This window comes from Homo sapiens, chromosome 3 (assembly GCF_000001405.40).
Source record: "Homo sapiens chromosome 3, GRCh38.p14 Primary Assembly".
NCBI lineage: Eukaryota > Metazoa > Chordata > Mammalia > Primates > Hominidae > Homo > Homo sapiens.
In genome coordinates this window covers 51,808,268-51,823,462 of record NC_000003.12, presented here as the reverse complement: position 1 = coordinate 51,823,462, position 15,195 = coordinate 51,808,268, and the positions used below count along the sequence as shown (strand labels likewise).

The following is a 15,195-nucleotide window of genomic DNA, read 5'->3' as shown; positions in this document are numbered from 1 at the left end:
CCTTTCCATCCCTTGACTGTACTTTCCTCGGTTGGCTTCATTCTCAGCAAGCTTTTTCTGTGTGGTGTCCCCAGCAGCTCTGCTTACATAATCCCTATAGTTAGCAAACCCAGTAGTTCCAAGATAGCACAAAAGCTGAGGATTATTGACCTGGTTTGGGTCTCATGCTCAGCCCTGAACCAATCATATGCATTAAGTGACCATATGCATCAAGTGTTCTGATATTCCTCTCAGCACTTGCACATCCTGGATTGATAAGCCTGAGTGAGTCATGCCTCCATCATGCAGGAGCAACTACGTTGGTACCTTCTCTAAGGCTTCTCCATCCCATGGTTGTGGGGCTATTGGAGACAAAGGGTAATCATGATTTAGAAAAGCAAATTGATTGTCTGAGAACTGGCTGCTGAAATAATAATCTTTACCGGCCATTTACAGATCCAGAAAATGCAGTGAGTCCAAGAGGTGGAAGGAGACATGACATTAGCAGAGAGTAGACAGAGGGAAGCAGAAGCCAATGGGGAAAGATACTGAGGAGTGGAAGAGACAGAGTGAAAGACAACATTATGAGAGGTAGGCAGAGACAGAGACAGAGACAGGCAAAACCCCACAGAGAAAGAGAGCAGCATGCACCCATGAAGTGGAGGGGCAACAATAGACCTTGCCCCACCACGCTGTGCACACAGACACACTCACTCACACACTTGGGAACACTGCCAGAGAGAAACGATAACGCAGAGAGACTGAGGCTGAGAACAACATGCCTATTGGGTATGAGGGATCTAGGGTGGTTGGCTGACAGAATCATTCAGGGATGGTGGGATAGTTGTTTCTAGGCAGTAGGATTTCAACTGTGCTGAAGCCACAGATCTAAGATCTGGATGGAATTGTGAATCGTGTATTCGTTCATCAGATAAATGTTTATTAAAGCAACAAAAAGACAATCACCAACTAATTAAAATTATTGCAAGGGACTTGAATATACATTTGTCCAAAGATGGTATTCAAATGGAGACCATGCACCTAAGTCAGCATCATTAGTTATTAGGGAAATGCAAATCAAGCCCACAATTAAATATCACATCACACCAACTAGAATGGTTATAATTTTTTTAAAAAGAGAAAATAGTGAATGTTGGCAAGGATGTACAAAAATCAGAACCCTTGTACATTGCTGGAGGGAATGTAAAATGATGTAGCTGCTAGATATTCACAACAGGTTTATTCACAAGAGCCAAAGGTGCAAACATCCAAATGTCCATCAATGATGAATGGATAAGCAAAGTGTGGCATATCCATACAATGGAATATTACTCAGGATAAAAAGTAATAATATATGCTACAACATGGATGAAACTTGGAAACATTATGTTCAGTGAAAGAAGCCAGACACAAAATATTGTACAATTCCATTTATGTGGAAAATCTAGAGTAGGTAAATTCATGAAGACAGATGCAGACTGGGGGTTGCCAGGGGCTGGGGATAATGGAAAATGGTAGTTTAATGAATATGGGTGTATTAGTCCTTTTTCACGCTGCTGATAAACACATACTTGAGATTGGGCAATTTATAAAAGAAGGAGGTTTGTTGGACTTACAGTTCCACATGGCTGGGGAGGCCTCACAATCATAGCAGAAGGTAAGGAGGAGCAAGTCACACCTTACATGGATGGCAGCAGGCAAAGAGAGAGCTTGTGCAGAGAAACTCCCGTTTTTAAAACCATCAGATCCATGAGACCCATTTACTGTCACGAGAACAGCATAGAAAAGACCCACCCCCATGATTCAATCATCTCCCACCAGGTTCCTCCCACAACACGTGGGAATTATGGGAGCTACAAGATGAGATTTGGGTGGGGACACAGAGTCAAACCATATCAATGGGATTTTCTTTTACTGTGATCAAAATGTCTGAGAACTTTATAGAGATGGTGGTTGCTTAACATTGTGAATCTGCTAAATACCATCGAATTGTTAATTTTAGTTTAGTGGTTAATCTTACATGGTTAATCTAAAAATGATTAGTCTTATGTTACATGAAGATCACTTCAAACTTACAGACCACACACACACACACACACACACACACACACACACTTCTTTTTTTTTTTTTTTTTTTTTTGAGACAGGGTCTCACTCTGTCCCCCAGACTGGAGTGCAGTGGTGTGCTCTTGGGTCAATGCAACCTCCACCTCCCAGGTTCAGGCGATTCTCCTGCCTCAGGCTCCTGAGTAGCTGGGATTACAGGCACGTGCCACCACGCCTAGCTAATTTTTGCATTTTTAGTAGAGACGGGGTTTCTCCATGTTGGTCAGGCTGGTCTCGAACTCCTGACCTCATGATCCACCCATCTCGGCCTCCCAAAATGCTGGGATTACAGGCGTGAGCCACCGCGCCCGGCCCCACTTCCTGTTTTTTTAATGAGTCAGGTGTGGCCACAAGCAGAGACAAAAAGAAACTCAAGAAAACTAAGTTTATTACACTCACAGGACCTGGTTCTTACAGTGGGCAACATGCCATGCAGGGTGACAAGGGAAGCTCCAGGCTTTGTTCAGGTGGCAGAGGAAGAAGCAAGGGGAGATCTGAAGTCATGGTCTTAATTGAGTTTCTGAGGGAAAGGCAAGGCAGGGCAGGGTAAAGCATTTAGGGTTGGCTGGTTGGCATAATGTGGCGAGTTCTAAGCTGTAGAGGTGGTCCCTAGTGTTCTGGTACCTGCCCAGGAATAATTAAGGGAGAGGAATATTGCCTCCTGGGGTGTAAGAGCCAGGTGCAGGAGGTCTGCTCTGGATTGGGTAGTTTGGATATCTAAATATATACAGATTGAGTACTCCTAATCTAAATATTCAAACCCCAAAATGCTACTAAATAGGAAGTTTTTTTGTGTGCCAAAATGAAGCTCAAAGACAATGCTGTTGGAGAATTTTGGATTTTGATTTTCAGATGAGGGATGCTGAATATGTAAGTAAAAAGTAAATATTCCAACATCCCCCAAAATCTGAACTCTGAAGCTATTCTGCTCCTAAGCATTTCAGATAAGGATACTGAACCTGTACATATGTGTAGATACATAGAGAGAGAACCACTATGTTCCAAGCCCCATTCTAGGTCCTGGGAACCCAGCACTGACCCCAGAATCCTGCTCTCCTGGAGGCCACCCTCTAGAAGGAAAAAGAAAATAGACAATCAGGTAAGACAAGCTCAAGTAGTGATGAGGACTTTGAAAACAGGAAGGCAGACTGAGGAGCTGGAGAGGGCGCCTTTGCACAGAGACAAACCTGCATGGAGCGGGAGCTCCATCCAGAAGCCGACGGCCCTAGGAGAGCAGGCAGCAGGGCAAAGTTCTCAGATGGAACACGCTTGGGATAGTTGCTAAATAGCAGAGCAGCCAGGGAGGACATAAAGAGGATGAGATGGCCAGGACCAGACTATGCAGGGTTATGTAGACCCAGGGAGAGCTTTTGAACTTGCTCTAAGTGTTAAGGGAAGACGCTGGAGGATTAAGAGCAAAGGATGGCACAGGCCTCCATACTGCATGGCCACAGGGGGCGCCATTACACATACCACAGCGGGAACCAGTCTTCCCGGAGCTGGCCTTCTTGGTGGCTCTGCAACCCCAACTCGCTCACCCATGGCCGACATTGCTATCTCTCACAAGCCCTGCTCCTTCAGCATGGGGCTGTCACATCCTTCTCCCCACAGGACCCCAGACAAGCCGGCTGACTCCTCAGAGCTGACCTGTGAGATGCCAGGTACCTGTCCTCATTTCCCTGACCCTTTGCTGAGGCAAAGATCTCTCGGAGTTTGCTTAATAGAGAACTAGGGACACATAGTTGGAGCACCTTGTCACTTCTTTATTGGGAAGGGGATGCAGTCTGTAATTCGGCAAATATGTGATCCCAGGAAGATGTCAAGCTCAAGGCTCAGCTGGCTTGTTGTGAGCTCGTAGCTGCCATGGAAAAAGCCACGGGTATGGCAACTTCTCCAGCGCCAATAGACCTGGATGATGCGGACAGCGTTGAGCAAACGACAGTAACGCCAGCGGACACGCCACATGCGGACCCAGGACTGCAGCCTGACTGCTGCCCATAGCTGCCGTGCACAGAGCTCCAGTGCTGCCCGCTGCCTCTTCGCCTGCAGCCTTGCCAGCACCTGCCTCCACCAGCACTGAATGATCAAAGCTCTGAGGGTCACGTGCAGTAGTGTGCATTGCACCAGCGTGCCCCACCATCAGGACTGGATCTTTTTTGCTGCCAGTACCTTGTCAGTGGGGGGCTTCATTTGGAAAAGGAGGAGAGGTTGCAAGAAAAGAAAGAAAAGTCAGGACATTTTCCTCACAAACATCAGCCCCAGTGGGTGAGAGGAAGTGGCCAGGTACTCTACAATGGCCCTTTCCTGTAAAGTTCAGGAGCACTGGGCAGGGCAACACCTAACTCAGGAGACCAGGTTGTACCCCCTCTGCCACCCACAGGCCAATGGACATGGCCACCTCACCTTCACCTCTGAATCTCAATGTTCCCATCTGCAAAATGGGGGTACACCTGCCCTAGCTACCTTGCCCAGGTTTTTGCAAACCTTGTTGGCCAGTCTAGAGTAAGGACACTGTGATGTAGGGCCAAAGTGTTAACACATTTCACCTAGGCCTGACCATCTCCTGAGACCCATGACCCATCCCTTCAGACCTCTCCCACCTGCCAGAGAAGTGTCTCCTTTGCTGGCCATGCCCTCTTATTTCTAACTCCAAGTGAAATCCACAGCCTGCTCTTTCCTGCTGTCACGTCATAGTAGTCAAAGTTTCCCTGCTCCACACAGTTTGGAGTCTTTTTCACCTACTTCTTACTTTCACTTCTTTTAACACACTTTTTCTTGTTAAAACTTCTTTTAACTTCAGCTTACCTACACATAAGTGGACTCATGTGCACACTCCCCCACATCCCACCCAATTCAAGACTTGGGTTTCCCTTTATGGCCATGCATTCCCCAAACAGAGCCCTCACCATGCCATGCTCCAATGTTGCATGTCTGCTTTCCACTTTTCAGGGTTTCTCTTTCCTACATCCAAGTCTCCATGCCTCAGTCACCCACCTTTCCCAGACTCATAAGGAAATGGGAGAAGAAGATAGCCCAGGATGAGTCAATCTCTATTTATTGCAGCTTTGAATACAACGACTATGTCCTTGTTGGCCTGGGATATTCTTGGTTTATGGTGGTTGTTCCTGAGTAAGGATTAATAGCAACACCTTTCACTCACAAACGTTTCCTAGTTTGGACAAGAAATTCCATAATTAACCAATTCTATGAGCCACAGAGAAGACAACCACCACTACTGGGTGGCACAGGTCAGAGATGTTGCAGGTGTGGGGTCTCTTCCAACCTTGAGGGCCTGTTCTGACTTACCTTTGGCTTTGGAGGAGGAGGCATTTTCTCCCGCTCCATTTGTTTCAACAGTGCGGTTTCATCAACATCTTCCATTATGCTTTGGCGAACATGGCCATCCTTCTGTAATCAGATTTTAAAGAGGTGAGGTATGGATAGGTAGTTATTTGTAGAACTCAAGGCACTCTCCCTCACTGTGACTGAATCCCCTGTGTCTGTATTGCCTGCAGGATACCCAGTTTTCAGCCAAGTTCACCACATCCTTAACCTCTTGGCTTTCCCAGAGACCCAGACACAGGGCTTGCATCCTGATTAACTGTGGGAATTCACCTCCGCCTGCCTGCATCTTTGAATTGACTGGTTGTCTCTTACAAAACATTGAATGCCCATGACTTGCAGTAGTTGGTTCAATCCCTTCAAGTCTGCAATCCCCTTTAGTGCCCATGATTAGAGGCTAGAGGTCTCCATTATACTCAGGTCTGTACTTCTCTAGCCACCACTGTGGCAGGAAGTGTGAAGGAAGAGAGAGTGTGATGATGTCATAAGGGCACCTATGACTCTGGCATCAGAATGGCTTCCAACAGCTGAGTCTTTTCCAGCGAATATGTGGAACTCTTGTCCATTCTTTTTTGCAGACATGGCCACAATTTGACTACAAAAGCAAGCCACTGGAAATACTGGCTAATTAGCACAAAGAGGTATATAGTTAATGCTTTCAATCTAGTTGATAAAAACAAAAATTGAGACAACCTAAACCTCCATCAAATACAAAATTCAGTCACATGGATTTCAGTTCAATGAAACAATTGAGCCATATAAGGATGAGAAAGAATGAATTAGCAGCAAAATTCTCAAACAGATGCTTCAGAAAAGGAGATTTAGGAATAGCTAAGAAGCACATGAAAAGATGCCCAATATCAATAGTCATGAGGGAAATAAAAATGAGAACCAAAATGAGATACCCCTAGACACCCTAAGAGAATGGCTAACATGAGAAATCTGACAGTACTAAATCCTGGCAGGGATTCAGAATGGGTAGATCTCTTATACACTGCTGATAAAAAGGTGTGAAACAGCAGAATCACTTTGGAAAATGGTTTGGCACTTCCTAATGAAGTTCAACATGCACCCGCCCTGTAACTCAATAGTTTCAGTCCTAAAATTTGCAAATGAAAAATGAAAACACATTTTACAAAGACATGTGCATGGATATTCATAGCAGCTTTATTCAAATAGGTCAGAACAGGAAACAACCCAAATGTCCACCAACAGGTGACTAGACAAAAATTCGTGACATATTAGTATAATGGAGTAATAGTAACAAAAATGAATATATTCATACACAGAATAACATAGATGACTCTCAGAAACTTGATGCTAAATGAAAAAAGCTAGACTACCTACAGGTTCTTTTTTTTTTTTTTTTTTTTTTGAGACGGAGTCTCGCTCAGTCACCCAGGCAGGAGCGCAATGGCGCTATCTCAGCTCCCTGCAAGCTCCGCCTCCCGGGTTCACACCATTCTCTTGCCTCAGCTGCCCGAGTAGCTGGGACTACAGGTGCCTGCCACCACGCCCGGCTAATTTTTTGTATTTTTTAGTAGAGACGGGGTTTCACCACGTTAGCCAGGTTGGCCTCGATCTCCTGACCTCGTGATCCGCCCGCCTCGGCCTCCCAAAGTGCTGGGATTACAAGTGTGAGCCACCGCGCCCGGCCTACAGGTTCTTCCATTTATATAAAATTCTAAAACAGGTAAAACTAACAGGTAAAATGAAGAACAATAGAAAATGAATCAGATGAATTCCTAGATATAGGGGTTTTGCCTGCAAACAGCACATGGAAACAAAGAGGAATGTGCTATATCTTGGTTTTGGTGGTGGTTACCAAGGAATACGGAATTGTGAAAATTCATCAAACCAAGCACTTAATGAAACCACAGAAAAGAACTTTGTTCTCTCTGTACTGATATGGAGTACAAGTGAAACAAATTGAGTTGATGGACAAATAATTATGAGCATATCATAAAAGTACTATGAAAACAAGGGAATTAGGACGACATACACAACTAAAATTTATCAATGATTATCTTTGATGAGGCTAGTAGAATTGGAGGGACAGGGCACACACCCTCACTGTGGCTGAACTCCCTGTGTCTGTCCTGTCTGCAGGGCACCCAGTTATCAGCCTCCTGGGAGAGCAGGACACACACTGAGGGTACCTCTGAGGCCCCAGCTGGGGTACAAATGTCTTTGACTGCTCTCCTGTCGCAGTCAGAAGATGAGTCAGCACAGCCACTGCAGAAGCCGGCACCATCTCTGCCTGATCCCGACCACTGAAAAGCCACCTGGTGCTGCAGGTCAATGCTCAGCAGAAGGTCCTCTGGCCACGGCCTGAGGGGTCAGCATCAGACCCTGGTCCCCCTCAGAGTTTCTGCCCAGGGGTCACTAGAGTACATTTGAAATGTTTAGGATGAGTACTGGGGAGGCTGCAGTGGAGCCCTGGGGGGAATGTAGGGAAGAGGAGGAGGGCAGTTAAGGCTGGGGGTGGATATCAGGGTGAAGATAGTAGGACGAGGGGTGTGGAAAAGACAGGTGCTAGGTGGAGGGCAGGGTAAGTGGTGAGAAGAACTTGTGGGACCGGGAAGGTGCAGAAAGCATTTTTTGATGAAGCAATTGGAGAATATCCACAGGACAAGATTTGCATCTCTGAGAGTCTTTCTTTGGATCATGACCCAGTGATTTTTTTTTTTTTACTGTATTGTTTGTTTTGAATTTCTTCAAACAGAAACTTAAAATGTACATTGATCAGCTTTTCTAGTTACCTTCAGCAAAAGGACCATTCCAGCTCCTTAGCACATCATTACTAGAAGCAGGAGTCCCTCCATGCTGTATCCTTACCCACTCCTTTATTTTCAAATTCCCATCTCCTTCTGTGCACAAAATACATGTGTTTCTCTTTTGATCCAGCAAGAAAGTCTCTGTATTTTGATAGACACTACTACACATTCACAGTTATTTTCATTTCTAATATGCTTTGACTTATTGCCATATTGCTTCATAATTTCCAGCTATTTTTTTTTTCATTTTCACTTTTGTTGTCTTTTGTTGAATTGGTAGGGAATTGTTTGGATTTTTATTCTTTTTTCACTATAGAAGTTGAGGCAGACTGCACTTGCCTAGCCAGTATCCATTTTCCTCATTTTCCTAACTAATGGACCCATGAATATTTGGAGTAGCAATATCTCCAGCCTGGTAGCACCTCCGGGGATTTGCCATGCAGAATTCCAGGCACAGCCACCTTACAAAGCAAGACATGCAAGAGTAGGCATGGCTCCCACCAGTGATGGCAGAAAGTTGTTCTCTCACTGCTTTAGGAGGAGGAGGAGGGGGCTACTGCTAAAGCTTCTGAAGAAAAGAGCCCCTTGGAGGAGTGAGGTGCAGGCCAAAGGCAATAGGTCCTGAGCAGAATCTTTGCAACCTGCCTTTGCCAGCGGCGTTGGGCACCAGGCTGAACCCTGGACCTGAAAATATACTATGGCTGCTCTGCAGATCCCCACTCCCACACCTTCCAACACACAGAAGGGGCTTGGGGCTGAGGAAAGCGTCACCCAGCTGCAAGGCATGAAGACCCCTGCACACCTCTCCACTGGCCCTCCCATCACTCATGCAGGGCCCACCATGGAAAGAGCCTGCGGAGGGTTGCAGACCTCAGACTTATGGGATGGAGGTTCACACAAACATCTGAGGGACACAGTCTGAGAGTGAGGGGCCTTGGGCATGGATGACAAAGCAGAGACAGTGAGAGACCACGTGAGAGATGGTTGCGCCATAGGTGCCCAGAGACAGAGGGAGACTCAGCAAAGCAGTGGCCCAGCAGCACCCACCTAAGGCAGGCCCAGCAGAGGGTGAGACAGCCTGGGGGGAGGCCAGAGAGGGGACATGGGGGTGGAGGAGGAGCACAGCTGCTTCTGAGGACATGATAGGATTTAGAGGCTATGTGCCCAATGACCTCCAGTGGCAGAGGGACAGCCCTTTCCCTTGCCTACCCCTAGTCCTCTGTTTGTTTACCTGCCCCCATGCCACCCCCACCACCATCCCCCCACAGCCCCCGAGTCTCTCTCCCCTCCCCGATCCCATGCCTGGTTCTCCCAGGAAGTGCCCAGCAGAGGGGAGGGAAACCTTGTTGTTCAGCCCCAGGGTGGGCAGGCGGCAGGCACAGCTGCTGCCCTCAGCTCCTGCTCTGGCTTTCCCAGGGGCTGGCTCTGGCTGGCTGCTCCCCGACTCCCTTCCCCACCATAAGGCACAGCGTCTGTCCTGCGGTTGCCCAGCTAAAGTGCCCTGTCCTCCTGGCTCCCTGCCAAGCACTCTGCCGGCCCTGAGGGCCCTGCCAAGCACAGGCCTGCGGAATCCTGGCCTTCCCAGCTGGCCCTGGCTGCAGCCAGACTCTCTGATGTCCTGCTCTGAATGGAGATGCCTGGACAGGGGCTGTGAAAAATAAAGCCCAGTTTCTACACTCCCTGGTGAAAGGGGTTGAAATAGCCCTCCTACCTCTGTTGGCATCCCAGTCAGCCTGAGCACTAGGGCCTCTTTTAGAGAAAAGTTTCACCAGATCTGCCGTCAGGGGCAGCAGCCAAGGGTCAGCTTGTGCCAGGCCTTATTCTATGCAACAGATCTCCCACAAGTGGCCATCAGCTTGGCAAATCTGGGGTTAGCTAGGTTTTCCTACAGCCAGGCCTATGTCATGGCATTCTCTATTTCAAGTTCCATCTGGCTTGCTGTGATTTTGCAGACTGGGCAAGTGTGATAGGAAGTGAGGAAGGGCCTGTCAATATTGTCTGGGGTTCTGAATCCAACTACAAAAAATGGGCCTTCTGGTATGCTGACAAATGGGCCTCTGAAAGGTATGCACATGAAATCCCTGGAATCTGTGACTACTATGTGTGACAAAAGATGTGATTAACTTAAGGGTCTTGTGAGGAAGGGTTTATCCTGGATTACCTGTATGGGAGCTAAATACAGTCATAGGTACCCCTAAAAGAGAATGGCAGAGGAACTTTTAAGAGAGACACACTTTAGACAAGGCGATGTGAAGAGGAAGGCAGGGACAGGAGGGATGTGACCTCAAGCCAAGGAATGCTGGGAACTACCAGAAGCTGGAAGTGGCAAGGAAGGAAATCTCCCCTAGAGCTTCTGGAAGGAGCTTGGCCCTCCTGACACCTGGATTTCAGCCTCTAGCCTCCAGAACCATAAGAGAATGTATTTCTTTTCTTTTAAGCCACCAGGTATGTGGTAATTGTTACAGCAGCCACATAAACTAATAGACCTCTTATTTTTTTATTTTTATTTTTTGAGATGGAGTTTTGCTCTTGTTGCCCAGGCTGGAGTGCACTGGCACAATCTTGGCTCACTGCAACCTCCACCTCCTGGGTTCAAGCAATTCTCCAGCCTCAGCCTCCAGAGTAGCTGGGATTACAGGCACCTGCCACCACGCCCAGCTAATTTCTGTGTTTTTAGTAGAGACGGGGTTTCTCCATGTTGGCCAGGCTGGTGGTCTCAAACTCCTGACCTCAGGTGATCCATGTGCATTGGCCTCCCAAAGTGCTGGGATTACAGGCGTGAGCCACCGTGCCCGGCCTAGACCTCTTAAATTTTAAGTAAACCAATAAATTCCCTTTTTTGGTTTCCAAGTCTATTTTCTGTCATTTGCAACCAAAAGAGTCTTAATTTAGAAAATAGCTTAAAAGAAGGGAGACAGGCAAAAGAAAAGAATGGATTGTTATATAGGGATCGGTGGATGAGAAAAGGACACTAAGGGTAGAGGAAAGGAGGACGGTGAGTGTCTGCCAGTGTGATGATGTGGACACTATTGTGGGAACGGAAAGACTGATGGAGGTACCAATGGAAATTTTATCCAGGCCACAGTCGTGACAATAATAATCGACAGAGCTGCTGTGGTCAGAATGTTTGTGTCCTTTCAAAATTCATATGCTGAAACCTAATCTCTAATGTAATAGTATTAAGAGGTGGGGCTTTGGGAGGCTGTATCCTCATGAATGGGATTTGTATCCTTATAATAGCACCTTGAGGGAGCCATTTTGCCCTTCTCTCATGCGAGGACACACATTTACCCCTGTGAGGACACAGCAACATAGTACCGTCCATAAAACAGAGCAAGCCTTCACCTTCATCTGCGAACACATTGCTCTTGGACTTCCTGGTGTCCAGAACTGTGAGAAATAAATTTCTACATCCCCGTGCCTGGATCTCCCAGGAAGTGGCCAGGGACACAGGCTGAGAGTGAGGGACTATATGCTGTGCTATAAAATTACCCAGTCTAGGGTATTTTTATAGCACAGCATGAATAGCCTAAGACAAGAGCCATTATAATAATAAATTAGGGAGTAGGAACATCATGATATTTTCAACTGTGTGTGTGAGTGTGTGCATGTGTGAGGTGTGGGGGAGTCAGAGAGAGACAGAGAAACACAGACAGAGAGAGATTAAGCTAATCTGAGATGTGACCTAGGAATTGTCCACCTAAGGTTGCCTGAAAACCTAAATGATGGGGCATCAGCTTTTTGAGAGGAAAGAAGAACACAAATGATGATAAGTCAAATGCCAATAACTTATAGAGCAAAAATAGAACCTACTCATTTATGCAAAGACATAGAGATCCTGGCTGTATACTAAGAGGAGACAAGGTAACAACAGAGTTGGAGGCAGAGGGTTAGAAAAGGTAGAATTTGCCCAAGCAAGGAAGGAGAAAGTAAAAGGAGAAGAAATAAGTGGTTTCCTCTCAAATCCATGAAGTGCTGAATGTGCAGACAAACCCTTTATCAGTGCGCGGAAGGGCAAGTGTCCAGCTATAGGGGATGTTCAGTCATGAGGGGGGATGTCCAGCCATGGGTGGGGATGTCTAGTCATTGGTGATTATGTTCAGTCAGGAAGGGGATGTCTAGCCATGATTGTCAATGTCCAGACATGGGAGGATGTATAGCCATAGGTGGAGATGTCTAGCCATTGGTACCATGTCCAGCCATGGAGGAATGTCCACACATTGGCAGAATGTCCATCCATGGAGGAGGCACTCCCAGCCATGGTGAGGATGAGCTATGGGTGGATGTGCTGTAATGGGAGGAGGTCCAGCCATTGGGGCAATACTCAGCCATGATTAGGTTGTCTGTCCATGAGTAAAAAAGTCTGTCAAGAGCTCAGCTGAGCTAAAGAGAGCTGAACTGAGAGGCATCAGAGGAGGTAATTAAGACAACAAGCCAAAATGAAAGTAACAGTGAAGTTGTTAGTTACCTGCTGCAATACAAGTAAGAGGCTAAACTAGAGCCAGTGCCCACTCTCCCATATCCCTTTTCCCTCATGGTACCGCATACCGGTTGAGGGTCAGGTGGATCAGCATAGATGCAGGGGTGGGCAGTCTCACCGCCAAAGGAGCCCCGAATAAAAGGCTTCTGCAGTTTTATGAACCCAGAGGCTGGGAAAAAGGAAAGAAAGAAGGGCTAGGAGTGGAAACATACTGAGTACGAAGTCAAAGCAGTGAAAAATATCTTTAAGCCCACCGCAACCCACCCACTTAAGGATATATTGGCAGAAGCACCTAGAGAAAGTCTCAGCTGAAGGTCCACAAGAATGAGGCCTCCAAATGAAGCTGCCTGGACTACAATGAGATATGAGTAAGAGCATAGCAGGCCAGAGGGGCCTTATTCCTTAACTGTAACTCCTTTCAGAGATTGCAATGCATTGGTTGCACACCAAGTCTGATGCAGGGAGGGCAGCCTTCTTCCCTGAGGCCTGCCAAATAATGCTTTTGTTGTTGCCTGTGTTTAGGCCAGAAAAGTCACAGGAGCTGGACTCTTCAATGTCCATGCATGAGGAAGGATGTCCAGCTATGAATGGGAATGTCCAGCCTTGAATGGGGATATCCACCCAAGGGGGAGCATGACCAGTCATGCATGCATGTAGATTTCCACCATTACATCAGGATAACCAAACATGTGAATATGTCTAATTATGTGTAGAGATGTCTATTCAAGGAGATAAACAACCATGCTTGGGGATGATCCTCCCAGCAGAGGGAATGTCTAAACATGTATGAAGATTTGCCCAATAATGTGAGAGAATGTCCATCCTTGAATAGAAATATCTAAACATTGTACCAAGGCTAGACACTTGGACTTTGGCTCTGACATACATCATGTCCTCCTTGGCCTCTGTTTCTAATTTACAGAGTGTGTCAGTGGAATATGGTCATCGTCAGCATGGATTGGAAGTCCTTGGAGTCTGAAGACTTGAGGAATTTGTGAGACACAAAAACACAGGCCAGATCTTTACCAAAAAAGGGAGCCAGTTTTCCTCACAGGGACTCTTCACACCAAGATTTCAATGTGGAACCCAGCTGGTTGGAAGTGATTTCATATTGTTCCTGGAAAAGGCTGTGGGTCTGGAAGATGTACTATCAACAGTGGGCCTGGATCATTCACCACAGCACTTGGCAGAGGTGTGGGTGGATATACCACATGCAAAGCAAAACTGCAGCCTGACCACCCAGTTTATATAGAATCCCTGCCTCCACCTCTAAGCTGCCAGCCATTTCTGTTCCAGCAGCCTTGCCAGTCTTGGCCTCAACCAGCACTAAATGATCAAAGTTATGAGCACAGCATACAACCGTGTATCATACCCAAGCAAAATCTTCATGGTTGCTTTGTTCTGCTGTGTGTTCTTTAGTTTTAGGAAGCATAGGTACTTAGAGAAATAAAACTACCCACACTTCACCCCCAGTGTCTGCCAAGAAGGGGTACTGGCTCACTCTTAACAATCAACCCTTCCTTGGGTAGTTCCAGAGAAACGGGCAGGTGCCAATATAAATCTGGAAGTTTTGAGTTTATGTCCTGCTTCTCACACATGATGACCTACATTCTCATCTGAGAGCTTCTCACACGTGATGACCTACATTCTCATCTGAGAGAGAGACACATCTGTCCTATTCTCCTCAGAGGTGCGGCATCTAGGAGAAAGCATATGATGAACGGGAGTGTACCATGTTCATATGAAGAACCGTGTTCATGATACCAAGACCTTTTATATTTCTTGGACTTTATTATTTTTTTCCTTGATCTTTTATTCCCTTTTCATTATTTTCTGTCCTTATCTCTATTATTTTTCTCCTTCTACTTTTACTGGGTTTAAATTGCTTTTTAAATTTTAAGATGGATAATTAGCTCATTGGTTTTCTACCTTTCCTAATGCATACATTTGAAATAATGTTTCCCTCTAAGCAAGTTTTAGCTGCATCCTACAACTTTGAATATGAAGTATTTTGTCATCATTCAGTTTAAAATATCTTCAGTTTAAAATATCTTCTAATTACTATTTTGATGTCTTCTTTGACTTCTGAGTTGTAAAGAAGTTATGTTGCTTAATTTCTAAAAATTTGGAAATTTTCTAGTTGTTTTTATTATTATTGATTTCTGGCTTAATTCAACTATGCTCATAGAACATAATCTCTATGATTTACATTCTTTGACACTTGTTGAGGCTTTCTTCAAGGCTCAGCATGTGGTCAATTTTGGTAAACATTCAATATGTACTTGAAAATAATGATTCAAGCACAGCAGTTGGGTGCAGTATTCTACATATGCTGATCAAGTCAATGTTGTTAATTGTGTTGTTTAAATATTCCATATCCTTACTTACTAATTACTTTTCTTCTTATTCTATCAGACATTGAAAGGCCCACTACATTGTAAGTGTGCATATTTCTCATTGTGATTCTGTCAATTCTTGATTTATATATTTTATACCTATATTATTAGGTGC

General features: G+C 45.7%; 1 pseudogene across 3 annotated transcripts; it reads right to left on the bottom strand.

The window, feature by feature from the left end:
• Positions 1–3,827: 3,827 nt before the first annotated feature.
• Positions 3,828–5,860, bottom strand: IQCF4P (IQ motif containing F4, pseudogene; annotated as a pseudogene). 3 transcript variants are annotated; one of them, NR_038213.1, is made up of 4 exons: positions 5,701–5,860; positions 5,392–5,493; positions 4,992–5,254; positions 3,828–4,269 (listed from the first exon to the last, which is right to left on the bottom strand). The product of NR_038213.1 is annotated as an IQ motif containing F4, pseudogene, transcript variant 1 (transcript). The 3 variants fall into 3 exon arrangements; NR_038214.1 differs by lacking the exon at positions 4,992–5,254; NR_038215.1 differs by lacking the exon at positions 3,828–4,269 and having other exon boundaries at positions 5,124–5,254.
• Between the last annotated feature and the right edge of the window lie 9,335 nt (positions 5,861–15,195).